At 37.6% G+C, this 16663-nt stretch overlaps 1 protein-coding gene across 9 annotated transcripts in view; it reads right to left on the minus strand.

The window, feature by feature from the left end:
- The window catches only part of NBAS (NBAS subunit of NRZ tethering complex), a 782426-nt gene that overhangs the window by 703747 nt on the left and 62016 nt on the right, over positions 1-16663 (minus strand). For 7 of the 9 annotated variants that reach the window (XR_007076390.1, NR_052013.3, XM_017004317.2 and 4 more), the window contains one exon: positions 6239-6367. The exons of the other annotated variants lie outside the window; for them this stretch is intronic. Coding sequence is in view for 5 of the 7 variants with exons in the window: in XM_017004317.2 (XP_016859806.1) it covers positions 6239-6367 (129 nt within the window). In the remaining 2 variants the exon portion in view is untranslated. The remainder of the gene's footprint in view (positions 1-6238; positions 6368-16663) is intronic. 9 annotated transcript variants of the gene reach the window in all.

Here is a 16663-nt window from a genome sequence, read left to right on the forward strand (position 1 = left end):
GCAAGCAAAGAAAGGTAAGAAGTTCTTTGATTTTTTTTTTTTTTTTAAACAAAGTCAGCTTTCCTGGATCTCTAACTATAGTGCCTGGTCAAGAAGAGAAGGTAAAAATTTATCTTTACATCTTCCATTCCAAATTCAAGTTAGCAAGGAAAATCATTTGTTTTTAAATAAATTTGTTATGCTTTTCTCTTGTTAACCTGTCTTTTGTTATAGGACTGTCAGCTGTGATCCTTATGATGAGTTCAGTAAGGTATCATGTCTCCCCACCCGACATATTCATGCTACCACATTACTGAAAACAGCCTAATATGCCATCATTTTATACTGCAGCCATAACCCAAAGGAGGATGTTCTAAGAATAGTTATAGGTTTTGTACAGAAAACCTATTACGGCTAAAGTAATGTTTTCTTTAGACTTGAGAATTTTATTTGCTAATTGTTTTTACCACTAAAATCTAAATATAATGAAATCCCTGCCTCCAACAACATAAAAGCAACATTTCAAAGGCTTATTCATTCCACAAATATTTATTATTATTTATTATGTTAAGCCTAAGAGAGTCTGTGATGAAATACATATTCAGTGCCTATTCTCAAAGAACTCACAGTCTGGTGAAATTGTGAAAACAGCTGTGGATTATATCAAGATTCATCGCATCAACTGCCATCTTCCCACTTACTCTTCATTCATCTACTTAAGATTAGTCCAACACCTACTATGTGTGAAAAAGAAAATAAAATGACAATGAAGACATAAGTTTGTATTCCATTTCTAGGCCTGAAGAAGTACAAATAGACAAATAATAAAACTTGAGAGAAAAATTAAGGCCGAAAATGAGATGTAAAGATATAAACATAACATATGGGAAATGTTTGAAATGAAAATCACTTAAGCAATTTTACTATATTCCAGACATGAACAAAATTTAATACTCACAGATTTCTAGCCAGATGGATTTTCATATTGACAATGAAAGCCAAAGTATTTAATCAACTCAAAACTGGATATTAGTAAATCAGAATAGGCACTTCCACAACTATCTTTAATCATTAGGTTTTACAGAGAAAATACTCAATCACACAAAGCATATTATAAAAACTAATAAAGCGGCAAATTGCATGAAGAAAGCCCCAAATGAGTTGAATTCACAATTTTGGTAAAGAGGTTTAAGGCTGTGCAGGGTAGCAGCAACATTAATTTCTTCTCAGACAACATTTAAACTAAAATTATAAGCTGACTAGTTTAAATATCACCATATCATCGATTTGAAACTAATCGGTTTGTCTACTTACTAGAGCAGCCATAAAGAGAGGTGAAACTCTGCCCTACCTGGCTGATCCAAGCTCACTTGATTATTACTAGAGACATGAAAGAAGAGTAGCTGTCTCAGTATTTTTCAAAGCTTGGGATTTCTCTTTAAAGGATTCCAGTGATGAGTACACACAGCCACTTTACATATTTGGTAAACAACTGTATTACACCTCTCAGTTATTACTACTTGCACATTTCTAGGGTCTCTACATAATGAACTGCGTGACTCCAGGGGATGTTATTCATATAAACTTCAAGCTGATATATCTCCCTTGCTTACCATTAATATCATATGCTAGTCTCTGATTTACCCAGATAAAAGTCAATACTTCTAAATGTAAGTACTGTAAGTAGATATTCTGAAAAAAGGCTTAACCTATGAAGTCAGGAGACTTCAATCAAAATGGAATCTTGACTCTAACATTTAGTGATCTCAAGTTAACCTCTTTTAGCACCATTCCCACCCATTTATGCCTAGTGTTCCATTATTGGAATGCTAAGCTTGTGGGAGTTATTTAAATCCTACTGCTCAAGGTCATGGCCAAGGTCTGATTTTTCACAAAAAAAATTTGCCACCTCCAGCATACATGGGTTAATAGGGTTGTTGTGAGACAAATGAAAACTATGCTCTGTAAATAGTCAAGCCTTACTACACAAATACTATTTATTTCCAATAATCCTTCTCCCCAACACTATCAGCTGACCTACATGCCTTTCCTGAGCTTATCTTCTCAAAATATTAACATGTCATTTTAATCATTTGTTCATAATTTCCCTTGGAAGCCTGTGAATATCTTAAGAGCAGGGACTATGACACTGTATTCCCTACTGGAGCTCTTAGTAGAGTCAATAAATACTTGAACTTTATTATTTCACCATTATGTTATTACGTAAATAGGAACAACCTACTCTACTGTACAGTCCTGTTACACATAGGCTTTATTATACTTACTATAATACACTAGATTTTAGTAATTCATAAGCTAAAATTCAAATCTAAAACATCCAAGTGATTGATTCCCAGGATACAGGTGAAAGACTCAAAGAAACTATGGTTGTTCAAACTCTTCTTGCTTGACAAAGTTACCACCTTCCCCCAACCCCACTACATCATGAGTACTCTAGATATCTATTAGAAAGCTAAGGGTTTACCAATGAGAGGCTTCCCCAATTATTTATTCTGGTATCTGGTACACACTAACTAGCTCAAGAGTTAAGCATATCTGAGAGAGCTGAAGGAATCTGTATCACATCCACCGAGAAAAAGGATTTGTCTCTGTGTTTTTAAAGATCATCAAATAAAAAGAATCAATGTAAAAAATTAATAATTATAAAGAGTGATTATAGTCCTCCTAACCTTTTACATACAAATCTGATCTTTCAAATAATAGGATGCCACTAAATAACTAATAACACAAGTATTGTGGGAAAAAATGTGTGTAGTACACTCTGGCATTCGCTAGCCTAATAAATAAGTATTCTTCCACTTATCTTTTTGTTGTTTTATGTATTTCTTTCCCACACAGTCATGGAAAGAACATATGCATCAGTGTCAGAGAGGTATAAAATCAAATCTCAGCTCTATTGCTTACTTGTTGCACAACCATAGGACAAAGTGCTCAATAAATAATAAATGTAGTTAGGGTAAATTTTGTAAAAGCTACAAGACGATCTTATTCCTGTACCTTCTTCCTATTAAGCTATACAAGTATGCAATTAGCATACAGAAAGAAACCAGAGTGTCTGTGAAGAGGTTGAAGCCTCACAGGCGTGTTTACAATGGAATGAAGTTTTGGAAAGTACGGCAGAAATGGTTACATGAAAGTAGAGAGCAGGACAAGAGGATCTAGGAAGTAGAGCAAAGCAGCATGATGATCAGACTGCAGGAGATGACAGGTTCACAGAGGAGTTTTCATTTTCACCACAGCCTTAGGGTTTTAAAGGAAAAAAAAAAGAAATAAAATTAAATGCCTTCCATGTTCCCTACTTGGGACCAAAACTTCCTTTGAGGCTAAAACTGGCTAGGGTCTCAGAGGGCAGAGTCTGCCCTATCCAGCTAGTCCAGCTGAACAGCAGCAGGAAAGGGAGGGGTGGCCGACCCCGGCCTGTGCTGTGATGAACTCTGAACCGGGGAAGGGACAGAGCCACAATGGGAATGGTAGTCTGCAGTATCAGGGTCAGTAACTATAGCTAAGCCACTGCTCTCTCAGCAAAGGACACCACGACTCATACAACATCCTTGGTAATGGCAACTACGTCCATGGTTTTCAGTTTTGTGAGCCCCAAAATCTATTTTTCCAGTTTACTCAGGCATTCAAGGGAAATAATTCATACCACCCACATCAGAAGAAAATGACATATAATCCTAAAAATGTGTACATTTATAATAAGAGAAACAACTAGCTTGAGAATCAAGTTGCATAGCTCCCCTGATTGACAGATCAATTTAAAAGTCAAAAGCTCTATCTGAGGACTGTTTCAGGAACATGGAATCAAAGCCACATCCACAAAATGGATGCTCAACAGCCAAGCTACACAATTCCTCATGAATTATTCTTCCAGACTCTCAGGGTATTTGTTCAAAACACTTTTGCTAAGGCATGACAACTTCTAGCCTGAATGCCTCTCTTCCTACTACATACACATTTTTTCAATTTCTGAGGTCCCCCCCTTTCCCTTTCCTGTCCCATTACTTTTCTGACTGCATATTTCAAACTACTGAAATATTTACATTTATTCATTCTCTGGTTTTAAGGTTTTTAAACAACTTTTACTTTTTTTAATAGAACCACTCTAAAAATCTAATCAATGAATTATATTAATGAGTAAAGAGTAATGCATTATTATAGCATTGACTGGCAACTAATGACCAAAAAAAAAATGCTAACCAGTCAAAGGTTGAGCATATTCCAATAAGGGCCACAAAAAAAGATTCAATTTATCTTTGCAGGACAAAAAAAAAAAAGTCTCTGGATTTTCAGTAAACAAAAGCGCATACTAATCAATTTTGCTCAGAATAGCCTTTACACTGGATGTATAACGTACTAGGATACACAGAATATGAAATATTAAGAGTGCTTCAGAAATTGATAAATATTTCTACTAGGTGAATAAAAGTAATTTTAAAAAACAGAAAGCCAAGGGGGGAAAATGCCTTTATTATTCAAAGTTTTCACCATTTAGAAAAATGTTGCCCAAATCTAAAATTTCCCAAATACAGAGAGAACATCAGGCTCCTCTCAAACGAAAACAGCTGAATACTTTATCATCATGCATTGATAACCATGAAAAACACGAAGTATCTTTTGGATCAATGAAATGAATAATGCTTTATTTTGAACATAGATATGAAACATGGACTTCATGTATTGTGCATCAAGAAGTAGAGTCATCCCTCGGTATATGCAGGGTTCCAGGTATACCAAAATCTACATGCACTCAAGCCCCCTAGAAGACCCTGCTGGACCCACCTATACAAAAAGTCACCTACCCTATCCACAGATGTGACATTCTGCAAAGACTGTATTTTCCATCAGTGTTTGGTTGAAGAAAATCTATGTACAGAGTGGACCCATGCAGTTCAAACCCATGTTGCTGTAGGGTCAACTGTGTCAGTGATATGAAATATATGCCCTATAAATCAGCCTACACTCCCATCCTCAGTCAGCTCTTGAACAGCCAAGTGGAAGTTCTGCTGCCTGACATCCCCAGCTAAATACATTACACAGTTTTGAGAGTTCATCACTTCACCTCTAGAAAGAAGAAATGAGTGAAGTTAGCTATAATTTCAGAGCAGAGAGAAAGACTGTCCCTTTTATTTAGCCACCAAGGTTGTAAGCTGAGGAGCACCTCTGCCACTGAGGACAAATCTAGATCCAATAAGGGAGAAAGAGTGGTAAACATGTGGAGATCATATTAACTTCAAGTTGAATGGAAACCAGGGAGAAAATATCTTCCTAAAGCTGTGTATAAGACAAAAAAATAAGAATATCTAAAACAAATAAATTTAAACCAGTGAATCGAGGAAGAAAATACAGAGTCACTTTCTCTTTTCCTCTGTCATTCTGAGAAAAATTCCTTATCAATAATCCTCTCAATTATGACATTGATCCATTCAGGTCATTCAGGAAATAGGCTCTAATATGAAAATCTCAAACCACCCACCCAAAGCTGGATATGCCTAGAGAAAAACAGAGTGAGGGGGTGAGAGAAGGAAAATTAATCCCTAAAATGGTAAAATGTAAGTGAATCAGAGTAAAAGATTTATAATACAAGCTATTTCCAGTTGAGGAATTTCTTTAAACCTTTACTCTATCACAATACATGGCTTTATATGAGCAGACCTTTCCTTCCCCTTGTGAATTTAAATTATAATATATGTCACTAACTAGTGCTACTCTGTCACTACATAACAAAATCATCTAATCCTTAAAACCTATCATTCCAGGACACTAACAAAGAGTTCCATCCTTCTCTATATCTTAGCTATCCACATTTCAGTGAAGAGAAGGTAACTCCCTTCAAGGAGGCCCCAAATAACTAGTGTTGCAAGATTTGAAAAGAATTGTAACCCTTTTAGGATTTGACCCTCCAAATCCTTGATAATATTAACTTTTGCTGAAATGTTAACATCTCCATTCTGTACTTTTGAATGACAAAGAGGGAAAAAATGAAGAGTTTAACAAACTCTTTTACAGATTACACTCTGTATACAGAGTGTACCACACTACAATTCAAAATTAGTCCACAGTATTAATCTATTTTTAATTTATCCCACTGTACTGATATCATAATTTAAAGGATAGAAGAGCTTTGGAACGATGAGAATAAACAGCTGTGTACTATAGTAAAATATCAATAAAATAAAATTAGTATTGTCAATACTCACCCTTAAGAGAGTATCATTCTAATAACCAAGAGACGCACCTGCTCATTTTGACCCCATTCCCCTTGTTGCTTCAGAGATGGAATCGCCCAGATGCTCAGTTTCCCTGAGAAGTGAATGGCTGCCAGGAGCATCCCATCTGGAGAAAGGCTCATCTTAAAAATTCCATCCTAAATAAGAATCATAAGGTCAGGGCAAAGGACTTATGGTCAAATGTAAATAACTCAGAAGTAAATGACACTCTTTAGAGGTGCCAAGTTATAAATGATCTTTAGTAATTAAGAGTTCTGCCAGCTTCCTATCATTATAAATGTACTTCAGCATAGAGAAAAAGTCCTCCTGACCTTAAGGAGTTTGTTACCTACTTCAGAGTTATAATTTACATATAACCCAAAACCAAAAATTTGGTTATATTTACATATAACCGAAAAATATGTATGCATTATAAATATATTTCTTCACATATCAATTACCATGAATTCTCAATACCTTTTAAGGTTGGTCTTGACTAGATTGTCAATTCCTTAAAATTTGGGCCCAGATCTTTACAAGATTTTATATCTACACAGTGTCTGAAGTATGCTATATATCATAAATAGGCCAAAAATTCATGCCACGGAAAAGAAGGAAAGGAGTAGAAAAGAGCTAGAGAAAGAGTGCAAGAATGATGGAAACAGAAGAAGATAAAGAGGAAGAAAATGGTCCTTAATTTAAGAAATGCTATGAATGTTTACAATTTTCTAGATTTGCTGCCAAATTATCCAGTTTAAGGAATGTGTTACTACAGAACAAAGAAATTTTGTAATGACTGATTTCATATAGTCAACCGAAAGGTACACAGAGGAAGAGTTATCCTTCCAGTCCTTCTTGTCCAAATAACCTCTCTGTCTTTTCCTTTCTCAGATGACACAAACCATATGAGCAGAAATCATATGAGCAGAGACATCACCTGCCACCACCTACGATACACTCAGAAGACCTGAACAAACATTAACTGGACAGCTATTTCCCATTCAGGCATTTGTTAAGAACAGGGTCCAAGGTAGCCTGCCCACAAAGAATAAAACAGAGACCAGAAAACAGCAGCCCACAACCATATCTCTTCTGAACATTTAGAAAATCTGGCAAAACACAGCCCACATCCCCAGATGACAACAGAACTTGGTAGCAGATGACCTCTTAGAAGAGTCATAAACTTTCCAGTTAGTCAATGCCCACACCTTTCTCTATTATTGCTCCAGTATTGGGGTCAAATACTAGCTATAGAACTGAAAATGAAACATGACTATACTGAAAATCAAAATTATTACACTTGATCCAATTCACTAAATTATATTATCAGCCTGGCCTCTGTAGACATTTAAGTCCTCAAGTCTCAAATGACTAAGGTGCCTTAGCCATCAAAACCAGAACAATTTCAGGAGGTCAGGAACACTGTTGAATGAGTACATAGATGAAAAGATTAGCATCCTCTAATCACTTTACTAAAGACTAAAATTACTTTAACTAGATATAACAGGTTAATCCCAGAATCCCACAATTAAATGTAAGATTGAAATACAAATGCTTGAAAAAAGAGAAATAATAAAAGCAAAAGTACTTCAAAGCAAAATTTTAAATCTATCACATCCCTTCCTCTAAGATGGGATCAGGGAAAGAAGTACAAGACAAAGGGCCTGATGTCCTCCCTCCTCAAATTTAAAGTCAATAAGCTCCATGGTTTTGTATAAGGCAGGCCTCAGAAGCACAGATTTTTACCAGCCAAAAGAACTCTGCCCATCTTTCAGATTTCACAAAGGAAGAGATTAAAGTCCTGAAGGGCAAAGACACTTGCCCATGATCACTCAAGTGTGCAGAGCAAAATCTGAACTAGAATGTGGATGTTTTCAATCCCAACCAGGGCACGTCCATGAGCCAGGACTATAGTCCTCACCTGGACCCTGGCCTAGTTTCTAGTAGTCACGAGCATGCCCCTCAGCAGAAATTATGGTCAAGTATAATTTATTGTTTTGACCACCTGAATAATTAGTCATGTGTGATCTGTACGGTAATTCCCAGGTATTATAAATGTTCCATTATACAACTCCATTGAAATGCTCTGAAAGCAAGAAAAAAGTTTATGAATCTCTTTAACAACAAAAGTATACTGAATAACTTCACAATAGCAATATGACCGAAAGCACTGAATAAATATATAGTATTTTTTAATTTTTAAAAAACTTCTTCCCTCTTGATAGGGTTCAGGACATGCTACCCCAAAATACAGAATAAGTCATGTTAGCATCTGAGAAAACATCAGAGGCAGGAAAGTCATTCCCACCTTCCTCCCACCCTTCCTCCATGAAGCAGGTCATAAAATCTAGGAAGAATTTTCTAACCTTTTGCTAAAAGCAAGTCATGATCCTCATTCTGGAGGTGCCCTCCCCAAACCTGGAAGAAAAGAACATCCTCATCTCTGAAGACAGAGTCACAGGGAGAATGTGAACAAACAGGCCTTGCTAAGTTCCTCCCAATTTACTGCTATTAAATCATACTTATCCAACCATACTTCCACAACTATCCATTTCTCTTCTTCAAAGCTAGCATTAAAAATACACAGGTTGGCCAGGCGCAGTGGCTCACGCCTGTAATCCCAGCACTTTGGGAGGCCGAGGCGGGCACATCACGAGGTCAGGAGATCGAGACCATCCTGGCTAACACAGTGAAACCCCGTCTCTACTAAAAACACAAAAAATTAGCCAGGCGTGGTGGTGGGCGCCTGTAGTCCCAACTACTTGGGAGGCTGAGGCAGGTGAATGGCGTGAACCAAGGAGGCAGAGCTTACAGTGAGCTGAGATCGTGCCACTGCACTCCAGCCTGGGCGACAGAGTGAGACTCCATCTCAAAAAAGAAAAAAAAAAAAGAAAAAGAAAAATACACAGGTTTACCCATTTCTTCGAATCTTCATTTCCTTATGAAAGCTCCCATGTCACATAAAATTTACATTAAATCTATCAGTATATCTTGCTAATCTGTGTTTTGTGATAGGAGCCTCATCTATGAATCTAAGAAAGGAAAGAGAAAAGGTACTGTTTCTCCTCTACACTCACTTCTTTCTTTCCAGAAAGTTAAACAATAAATTGTATTAACTAGAATGTTCCCACTTGCTTTCATATGGTGGATACTTGATCCCCTTAGTTTCATTAGATGCCATGGTATCCACACTGTAAATGTAGTATTTCTTTCTTGAACTATCTTATTGTAGAAATTTTCACTTACACACAAAAGTAGAAATTACAGTATAATAAATATCCACATACCCAACCTGCTTCAACAAATATTAACATTTTTTCAGGCATGTTTCATTTACCCTTCCCCAGTCACCACCATGCCAGAGGATTTTAAAGCAAATCCCAGTCATTATTTTGCTTATAAATACACATCAAGTATGCATTTCTTTGAAGTCCCAAGTTATCTATTGAACGTTCATGCATAGTAAGATGATAGAGTTATTAGTAGTAATTGGATTGTAGCCACTCAAGATTCTCAAGACACTTAGGTTATGTTGGAAATACAGTGTTTTCCTTCTGAAATAAAACTCTGCTCTTTATTTGTAGAAACCTTTATGTATTTATTTATTTCTGAGACAGGATCTGGCTCTGTCACCCAGGCTGGAGTGCACTGGCACGATCTCGGTTCACTGCAACCTCTGCCTCCCAGGCTCAAGTGATCCTCCCACTTCAGCCTCCTGAGTAGCCAGGACTACAGGCATGCACCACCATGCCTGGCTAACTTTTGTATTTTTTGTAGAGGGTCACGGGGGTTCATCATGTTGCCCATGCTGGTCTCAAACTCCTGACCTCAAGTGATCTGCCTGCCTCGGCCTCCCAAAGTGTTGAGATTACAGGTATAAGCCACTGCACCTGGTCCGTAGAAACATTTCTGAATTCCTATATAACATGCAAGGGGGTTCTGGCCCAGGGAATAATTCATTATCCCAACAGTAACTGTGGACCAAAATCTCAAGTCACAGTTAGAAAATCCACGCTAAATTCTATGAACAGAGTCTGTGGTATTTGGGAGTCTGAGTGTCTGTTGGTGAGTAATATGGTTTGGCTCTATATCCCCACCCAAATCTCATTTTGAATTATTGTAATCCCCATGTGTCAGGGGAGGGACCTAGTGGGAGGTGACTGGATCATGGGGACAGATTTTCCCCATGCTGTTCTCATGCTAGTGAGTTCTCATGAGATCTGATGGTTTAAAAGTGTGCGGCAGTTCTGCCCTCGTTCTATCTCCTTCCTATTGCCATTAAGACCTGCTTTGTTTCCCCTTCATCTTCCGCCATGATTGTAAATTTCCTGAGGCCTCCCCAGCCATGTGGAACTGTGAGTCAATTAAACTTCCTTTCTTTATAAATTACTCAGTCTTAGGTAGTTCTTTATAGCAGTGTGAAAATTGACTAATACAGTGGGCAAGGGAGAGAATACCAGAGTTTGTGCCTTGGAAATGGGAGGATAAAAGCAACTACATATCACAATAAAAGTATACCTCGGCCAGGTGCAGTGGCTCATGCCTGTAATCCCAGTACTATGGGAGGCCAAGGCAGGTGGATTACCTGAGGTCAGGAGTTCAAGACCAGCCTGGTCAACATGGTAAAACCCCATCTCTACAAAAATACAAAAATTAGCCAGGCATGATGGCAAGTGCCTATAATCCCAGCTACTTAGAAGGCTGAGGTGGGAGAATGGCTTGAACCTGGGAGGCAGAGGTTGGCATGAACCGAGATCACGCCATTGCACTGCAGCCTGGGCAACACAGCAAGACTCTGGCTCAAAAAGAAAAAAAAAAAAAAGGTAAACCTCAAACATTTAAACCATGATTCTTCATACTGTATTAAGATTTCTCAGCACAAGTAAATAATAATCTTGTTCTCTTCTTTATTTGAATTAAGCAGTTGTAAAAGCAATAAAATTTATATGTAGCTGCAATTTTCTCTTTTTTTTTTTTTTTTTTGGAGACAGAGTCACTGTCTCCCATGCCGGAGTACAGTGGTGCAATCTCAGCTCACTGCAACCTCTGCCTCGAGGGTTCAAGGATTCTCCTGCCTCAGCCTCCCACGTAGCTGGGATTACAGGCACCTGCCACCACGCCGGGCTAATTTTTGTATTTTTAGTAGAGATAGGGTTTCACCATGTTGGCCAAGCTGGTTCAACTCCTGACCTCAGGTGAACTGCCTACTTAGGCCTCCCAAAATGCTGGGATTACAGGCATGAGCCACCCCACCCAGCCACAATTTTCACTTTGGTTAAAGTAAGTCTTAAATTTCTTTCACATTCCTCGTTTTTATTTTAATCATGAATGTCATTTTTATTTTAATCATCATTTCAACAGCTGAAATTTTGGTCAAGAACATTAAACTTGGCTCTGCCACTAGTAGTTATGTGACCACAGGCACATTAGTTAACTATCATAAGTAACAGAGGCTTTCTCTCTTTTTGAAATAAAAATAACAACATCTACACATTATAAGGTTGCCCCAAGGATAAAATTAGAATGTACGTAAAGTCATTTAATGCATTTATCATATAACTCAACTTTCTAAATATAGAAGTTAGTATGAAGATTGGATTCTACCTGAATCCATAATAACACATCTTAATCGTAAATTCCAACAACATGTCTCATTCATTTGGCACTCTTCACTTGCACCTTAGTAAGATCTTTTATATTGGAGGAATATATTGATATTTAATTCTTCTAACTAGTACTTTACCTAGTCTCACTAACCACTTTATATGCTCCCTGAGTATAGAAACTCCATCCACATTATATAAATGCTAGAATACAAGAGCTGAAATAAGACAATAAAGAGTGATGTTCCCAAAAAAGGAGGGTATCAGAATCACATGGACACCTGCTCCACTCCCAGCACTTAGGATAAATAGAAATCTAGGCTGGAAAAACATAGGCATATGTTCTTTGAAAAAACTCCCAGATATCTCTGATGTGCACCTCCACTTGAAATCTTCCACTTTAATTCTGCATTTTTACCCCCCTTTTTTCATTTTGCTGAGGAGGCAGCCAAAGCCCAGACACTCATGTGGCATGCTCCAGATGACCTGACAAGACTCTGTGGCAGCAATACAATAACTCTCCTAACACGCAGGGAACATCTCTTGGCATTCACAATAGGCAATTTCTTCAATGCATTGCACAGAAAATGGTGAGTAGTCTCTTGCCAAAATGCTGACCAGGCACTTGATAAATACTGTTCACATAAATGGAAACTGGGGGAAGTTATGCACACTCCAATAGCAGGAGCGTGACAAGAGATCCTGGAGCAATCGGCACTCTATAAGCTCTCAAAACTAACCGGCCTGCACCCACTTGTACAGGGGAAGTCCCATACTAATGTCATCAAAAACAGATACGATCCTCTTGATAAAAGAAGGCACTACCACCTATACAGTTTTCTGCCTTTAAAAGCAAACAAAAAATCTGCATGATCTTTAAATCCAACTACTAATTTATAAGAATACATGGACACAAAAGGACAAAAGAATAAAGGAAACACCACTATAAAGATGCAATGAGTAAAATGAAAAAACAGTTTCTTCAACAAATAATTTTTAAGAGAAAAAAAAGATGATATGGAGGACAGACCAGCAGATAGAGAAAAAGAGACTTAAAACACATAGTTTTTTTTAAAAAGCCATATTGTTAGAGATGAAAAATTGCATGATAAAAGTATAAATAAACAGATAAACCTAAGCCAGAATAATGGCTGCTTGTGGAGGGAGGGCGGGAACTGTGTTTGTGACAGGGTCCATAGAAGGTAGCTGGCAGAGTCCTGTTTCTGCCCTAGATAATGGTTATAAGGTTATGTACCTTTTCAACTTCAAACAAGAACCACTTCACACCTACTAGGATTACTAGAATAAAAGATAATAACAAGTGTTGGCATGGATGTGGAGACAATGGAAACACCATACTCTGACATTAGGAACAGAAAATGGTGCCGCCACCTTGGAAAACTATCTGACAACTCCTCAAATGGCTAAACACAGTTATCATAAGACTCAGCAATTCCACTCCAAGAAAAATTCAATGATATTTCCACAAAAGAACTTGCACACAAATGTTCACAGCAGCATTATTTATAATAGCCAAAAAGTAGAAACAACCCAAATGTCCAACTGATGAATGGATAAATAAAACACTGTGTGTGTGTATATATATACACACACACATACATATACAGATACACACACACACACACACACACACACACACAATGGGCTATTATTCAGCAATAAAAAGAAATGAAATACTGATACATGCAACAACATGGGTGAACCTTGAAAGCATCATGCTAAGCGAAAAAAGCCAGTCACAATGGACCACATATTTTATAATTCTATTCATATAGAATGTCCAGAATAGGCAAATTTATACAAACTAAAAGATTAGGGGTTGCTTACGAGCTGGGGAGATGGAGTGTTGCAGGTGATAATTAAGGGATGCAGGGTTTTTTTCCAGAGCGATAAGATGTTTAAAATTGATTCTTGAAATCATTGCACAGTTCTGTGAATATACTAAAAACCTCTGAATTGTATAATTTAAATGAGTAAATTGTACCACATGTGAATATTTCAATAAAGCTGTCCCCAAAATGGTTATTAAACCACATATTTGTTTGATGCAATTTCCTACATCTGTATTATATTTCACAATAAAAAGCTTAGGAAGGAAGAAAGCATGGGAGAGAGGGAGGGAGAAGGAGAGGCAAGGAAAGAGGGAGGGAAGAAAGGAAGAAAAGAAGGAGGGAGAGAGGGAGGAAGGAAGAAGGTGCAAAAAGAAGCTAGCAGGAATCTGATTTAATTTCTTGCTGCAAAGGAGGTTATCATCTAATACACCTATTCTATTCCAGGCACTTTTCTAGGTAAAACAGATGTGAATCTAGCTTCATGGAGCCATGAAAATACAGATTAGGTATACAAATAAACTAACAAATAAATCTACATTACAAACTTTGATTACTGCTATGGAAGAAAAATACAGAGTGCTCTAAGAGAGAATAACAATAGGAACTGTATTTAAATTGAAGGACTATAAGAGGAGTCTGAGGATATGAAAAATAGAGCTGATGCCCAAAGATGAGAAAAAATTAATTAATGAGGACAAATAAGGTAAAACCATTCCCAATAGAAAAAAAATGGAATCTACAAAGAAAAGAACATGGCACCCTTGATGAGCTGAGATAAGGCCAACATAACTAAAAGAGAATGAGCCAGTGGCATGAGATCAGTCTGCAGAGACAGTCATGGGCCAGCTTATGTAATGTCTTTTTGGATAATGTTAAGCATTTGATTCTGTCATCATTCTTAGTTCAACAGAAAGCCACTGACGGCTTTCTTCAAGCAAGAAAATGAGCTTATCTGATTTACATTTTTTAAGTCACTAAGGTTGCTAGGGGAACTGATTAAGTATCTGCTAATGTAGGAGAGATGACAAATTATACAATGGTGATAGCCACACAAGAAAAAAGAAGTAGAAAGATTCTAAGTACACTCTGAAGATGATACTGGTAGCAAAGGTGTTAGATTAGATTAGATGGGGGGATGAAGGACTGGCTAGTGTCAGCAATAATTTTCAGGTATCTCCCTTTGGCAAAAGGATGGATTACTGAGGCAATCAAGTCTAAGGTAGAAAGGGTTAGGGAAGAAAAATGAGAAGCTATCAGAGTTTTGTTTTGGAAATGTTTGATTTAAAATGCCTGAAGGCTATCCTACTGAAGCTGTCAAGTAAGCAGCAGGGTATACAAATCTGAAGTGCAGAGGAGAACTGGGCTACAGATGCCAGTTTAGGACTTCTTGGGATCTGAAAGGTATTGAAAATCTGAAAATACTCATATTTTATACATTAAGAAGTATGGAATATATTGATGTTGATAGCATCCCAAAGCCACAGAGCACACATTTAATTTGCTCCTAGTAACACCTATGAGTAGGTATTGAAATTACTTTTAATGATGAAAAATTAGTAAAATATTTCCTTGTATTTTACTATAGTATACTCCCATGTCATCTATAATAACTGAGAACCATCTCTATCAAAAGATATGTTTTTAAAAGCTTATCTAACAAATTATTAAAGGAACTAAAATTTTACAACTTTTTCCCCTAGATACACTATACCTTTCCTCCACTGATTCTCCGTAACTAATCTGCCTGCAAAATGGGTGATTAGTAAAAACATTTACTGAGTGTATAAAGTACATGTAGGGGTATACAGAAACGGGAAGTAGCTCACCCATTCTCCACTAAGTTATTTCAACTTTCCTCTCTGGAGGGCCCATAAAAGAATATGGCAGCAATGTAGTATCAAACTACCACAGATGCTAGAGTTCCACTTGCTATAAAACCTCACTTAGTTTTTCTAATCTGATTCTAATCTATAAAATTTGGATAATACTATACCTTTTGAGTTGTGAAGTTTAACAGATAATTAAAATATATATTTATCCCAATAAAAAAAATATTTATACATACATACAGTGTCTGGCATACAAACATTTAAAATGGGACTATTCAAAAAATAACATGCTGGCGAGGTTGTGGAGAAAAAGGAACGCTTACACACTGCTAGTGGGAGCATAAATTAGTTCAACCATTGTGGAAGCCAGTATGGCAATTCCTCAAAGACCTAAAAACAGAAATACCATTCGAACCAGTAATCCCATTACTGGGTGATATGGTTTGGATCTGCGTCCCCACCCAAATCCCATGTCAAATTGGAGGGGCCTGATGGGAAGTGACTGAACCATGGGGGCGGATTTCCCTTTGCTGTTCTCATGATAGTGAGTTCTCACAAGATCTGATGGTTTAAGTGTGTGGCACTTCCCCATTCGTGCTCGCTCTCTCTCTCTCTCTCTCTCCTGCTCCACCATGGTAAAGATGTGTTTCCTTCCTCTTCAACTTCCGCCATGATTGTAAGTTTCCAGAGGCCTCCCAGTCATGCTTCCTGTTAAGTCTGCAGAACTGTGAGTCAATTAAACCTCTTTTCTTCATAAATTACCCAGTCTCAGGGAGTTACTTTTTTTTTTTTTTTTTTGAGACAGTCTTGCTCCATCGCCCAGGTTGGAATGCAGTGGCGCGATTCTTGGCTCACTGTAACCTCTACCTCCTGGGTTCAAACAATCTTCCCACCTCAGCCTCCCAAGTAGCTGAAATGACAAGTACGTGCCACCACACCCAGCTAATTTTTGCATTTTTAGTAAAAATGGGGTTTCACCATGTTAGCTGGGCTGGTCTCAAACTCCTGACCTCAAGTGATCTGCCTGCCTCAGCCTCCCAAGTGCTGGGATTACAGGCGTGAGCCACTGCGTCCAGCCTCAGGTAGTTCTTATAGCAGTGTGAGAACAGACTAATACACTGGGGAATATAAATCGTTCTGTCATAAAGACACATGCACACATATGTTCA

Source organism: Homo sapiens, chromosome 2 (assembly GCF_000001405.40).
Source record: "Homo sapiens chromosome 2, GRCh38.p14 Primary Assembly".
Taxonomy (NCBI): domain Eukaryota; kingdom Metazoa; phylum Chordata; class Mammalia; order Primates; family Hominidae; genus Homo; species Homo sapiens.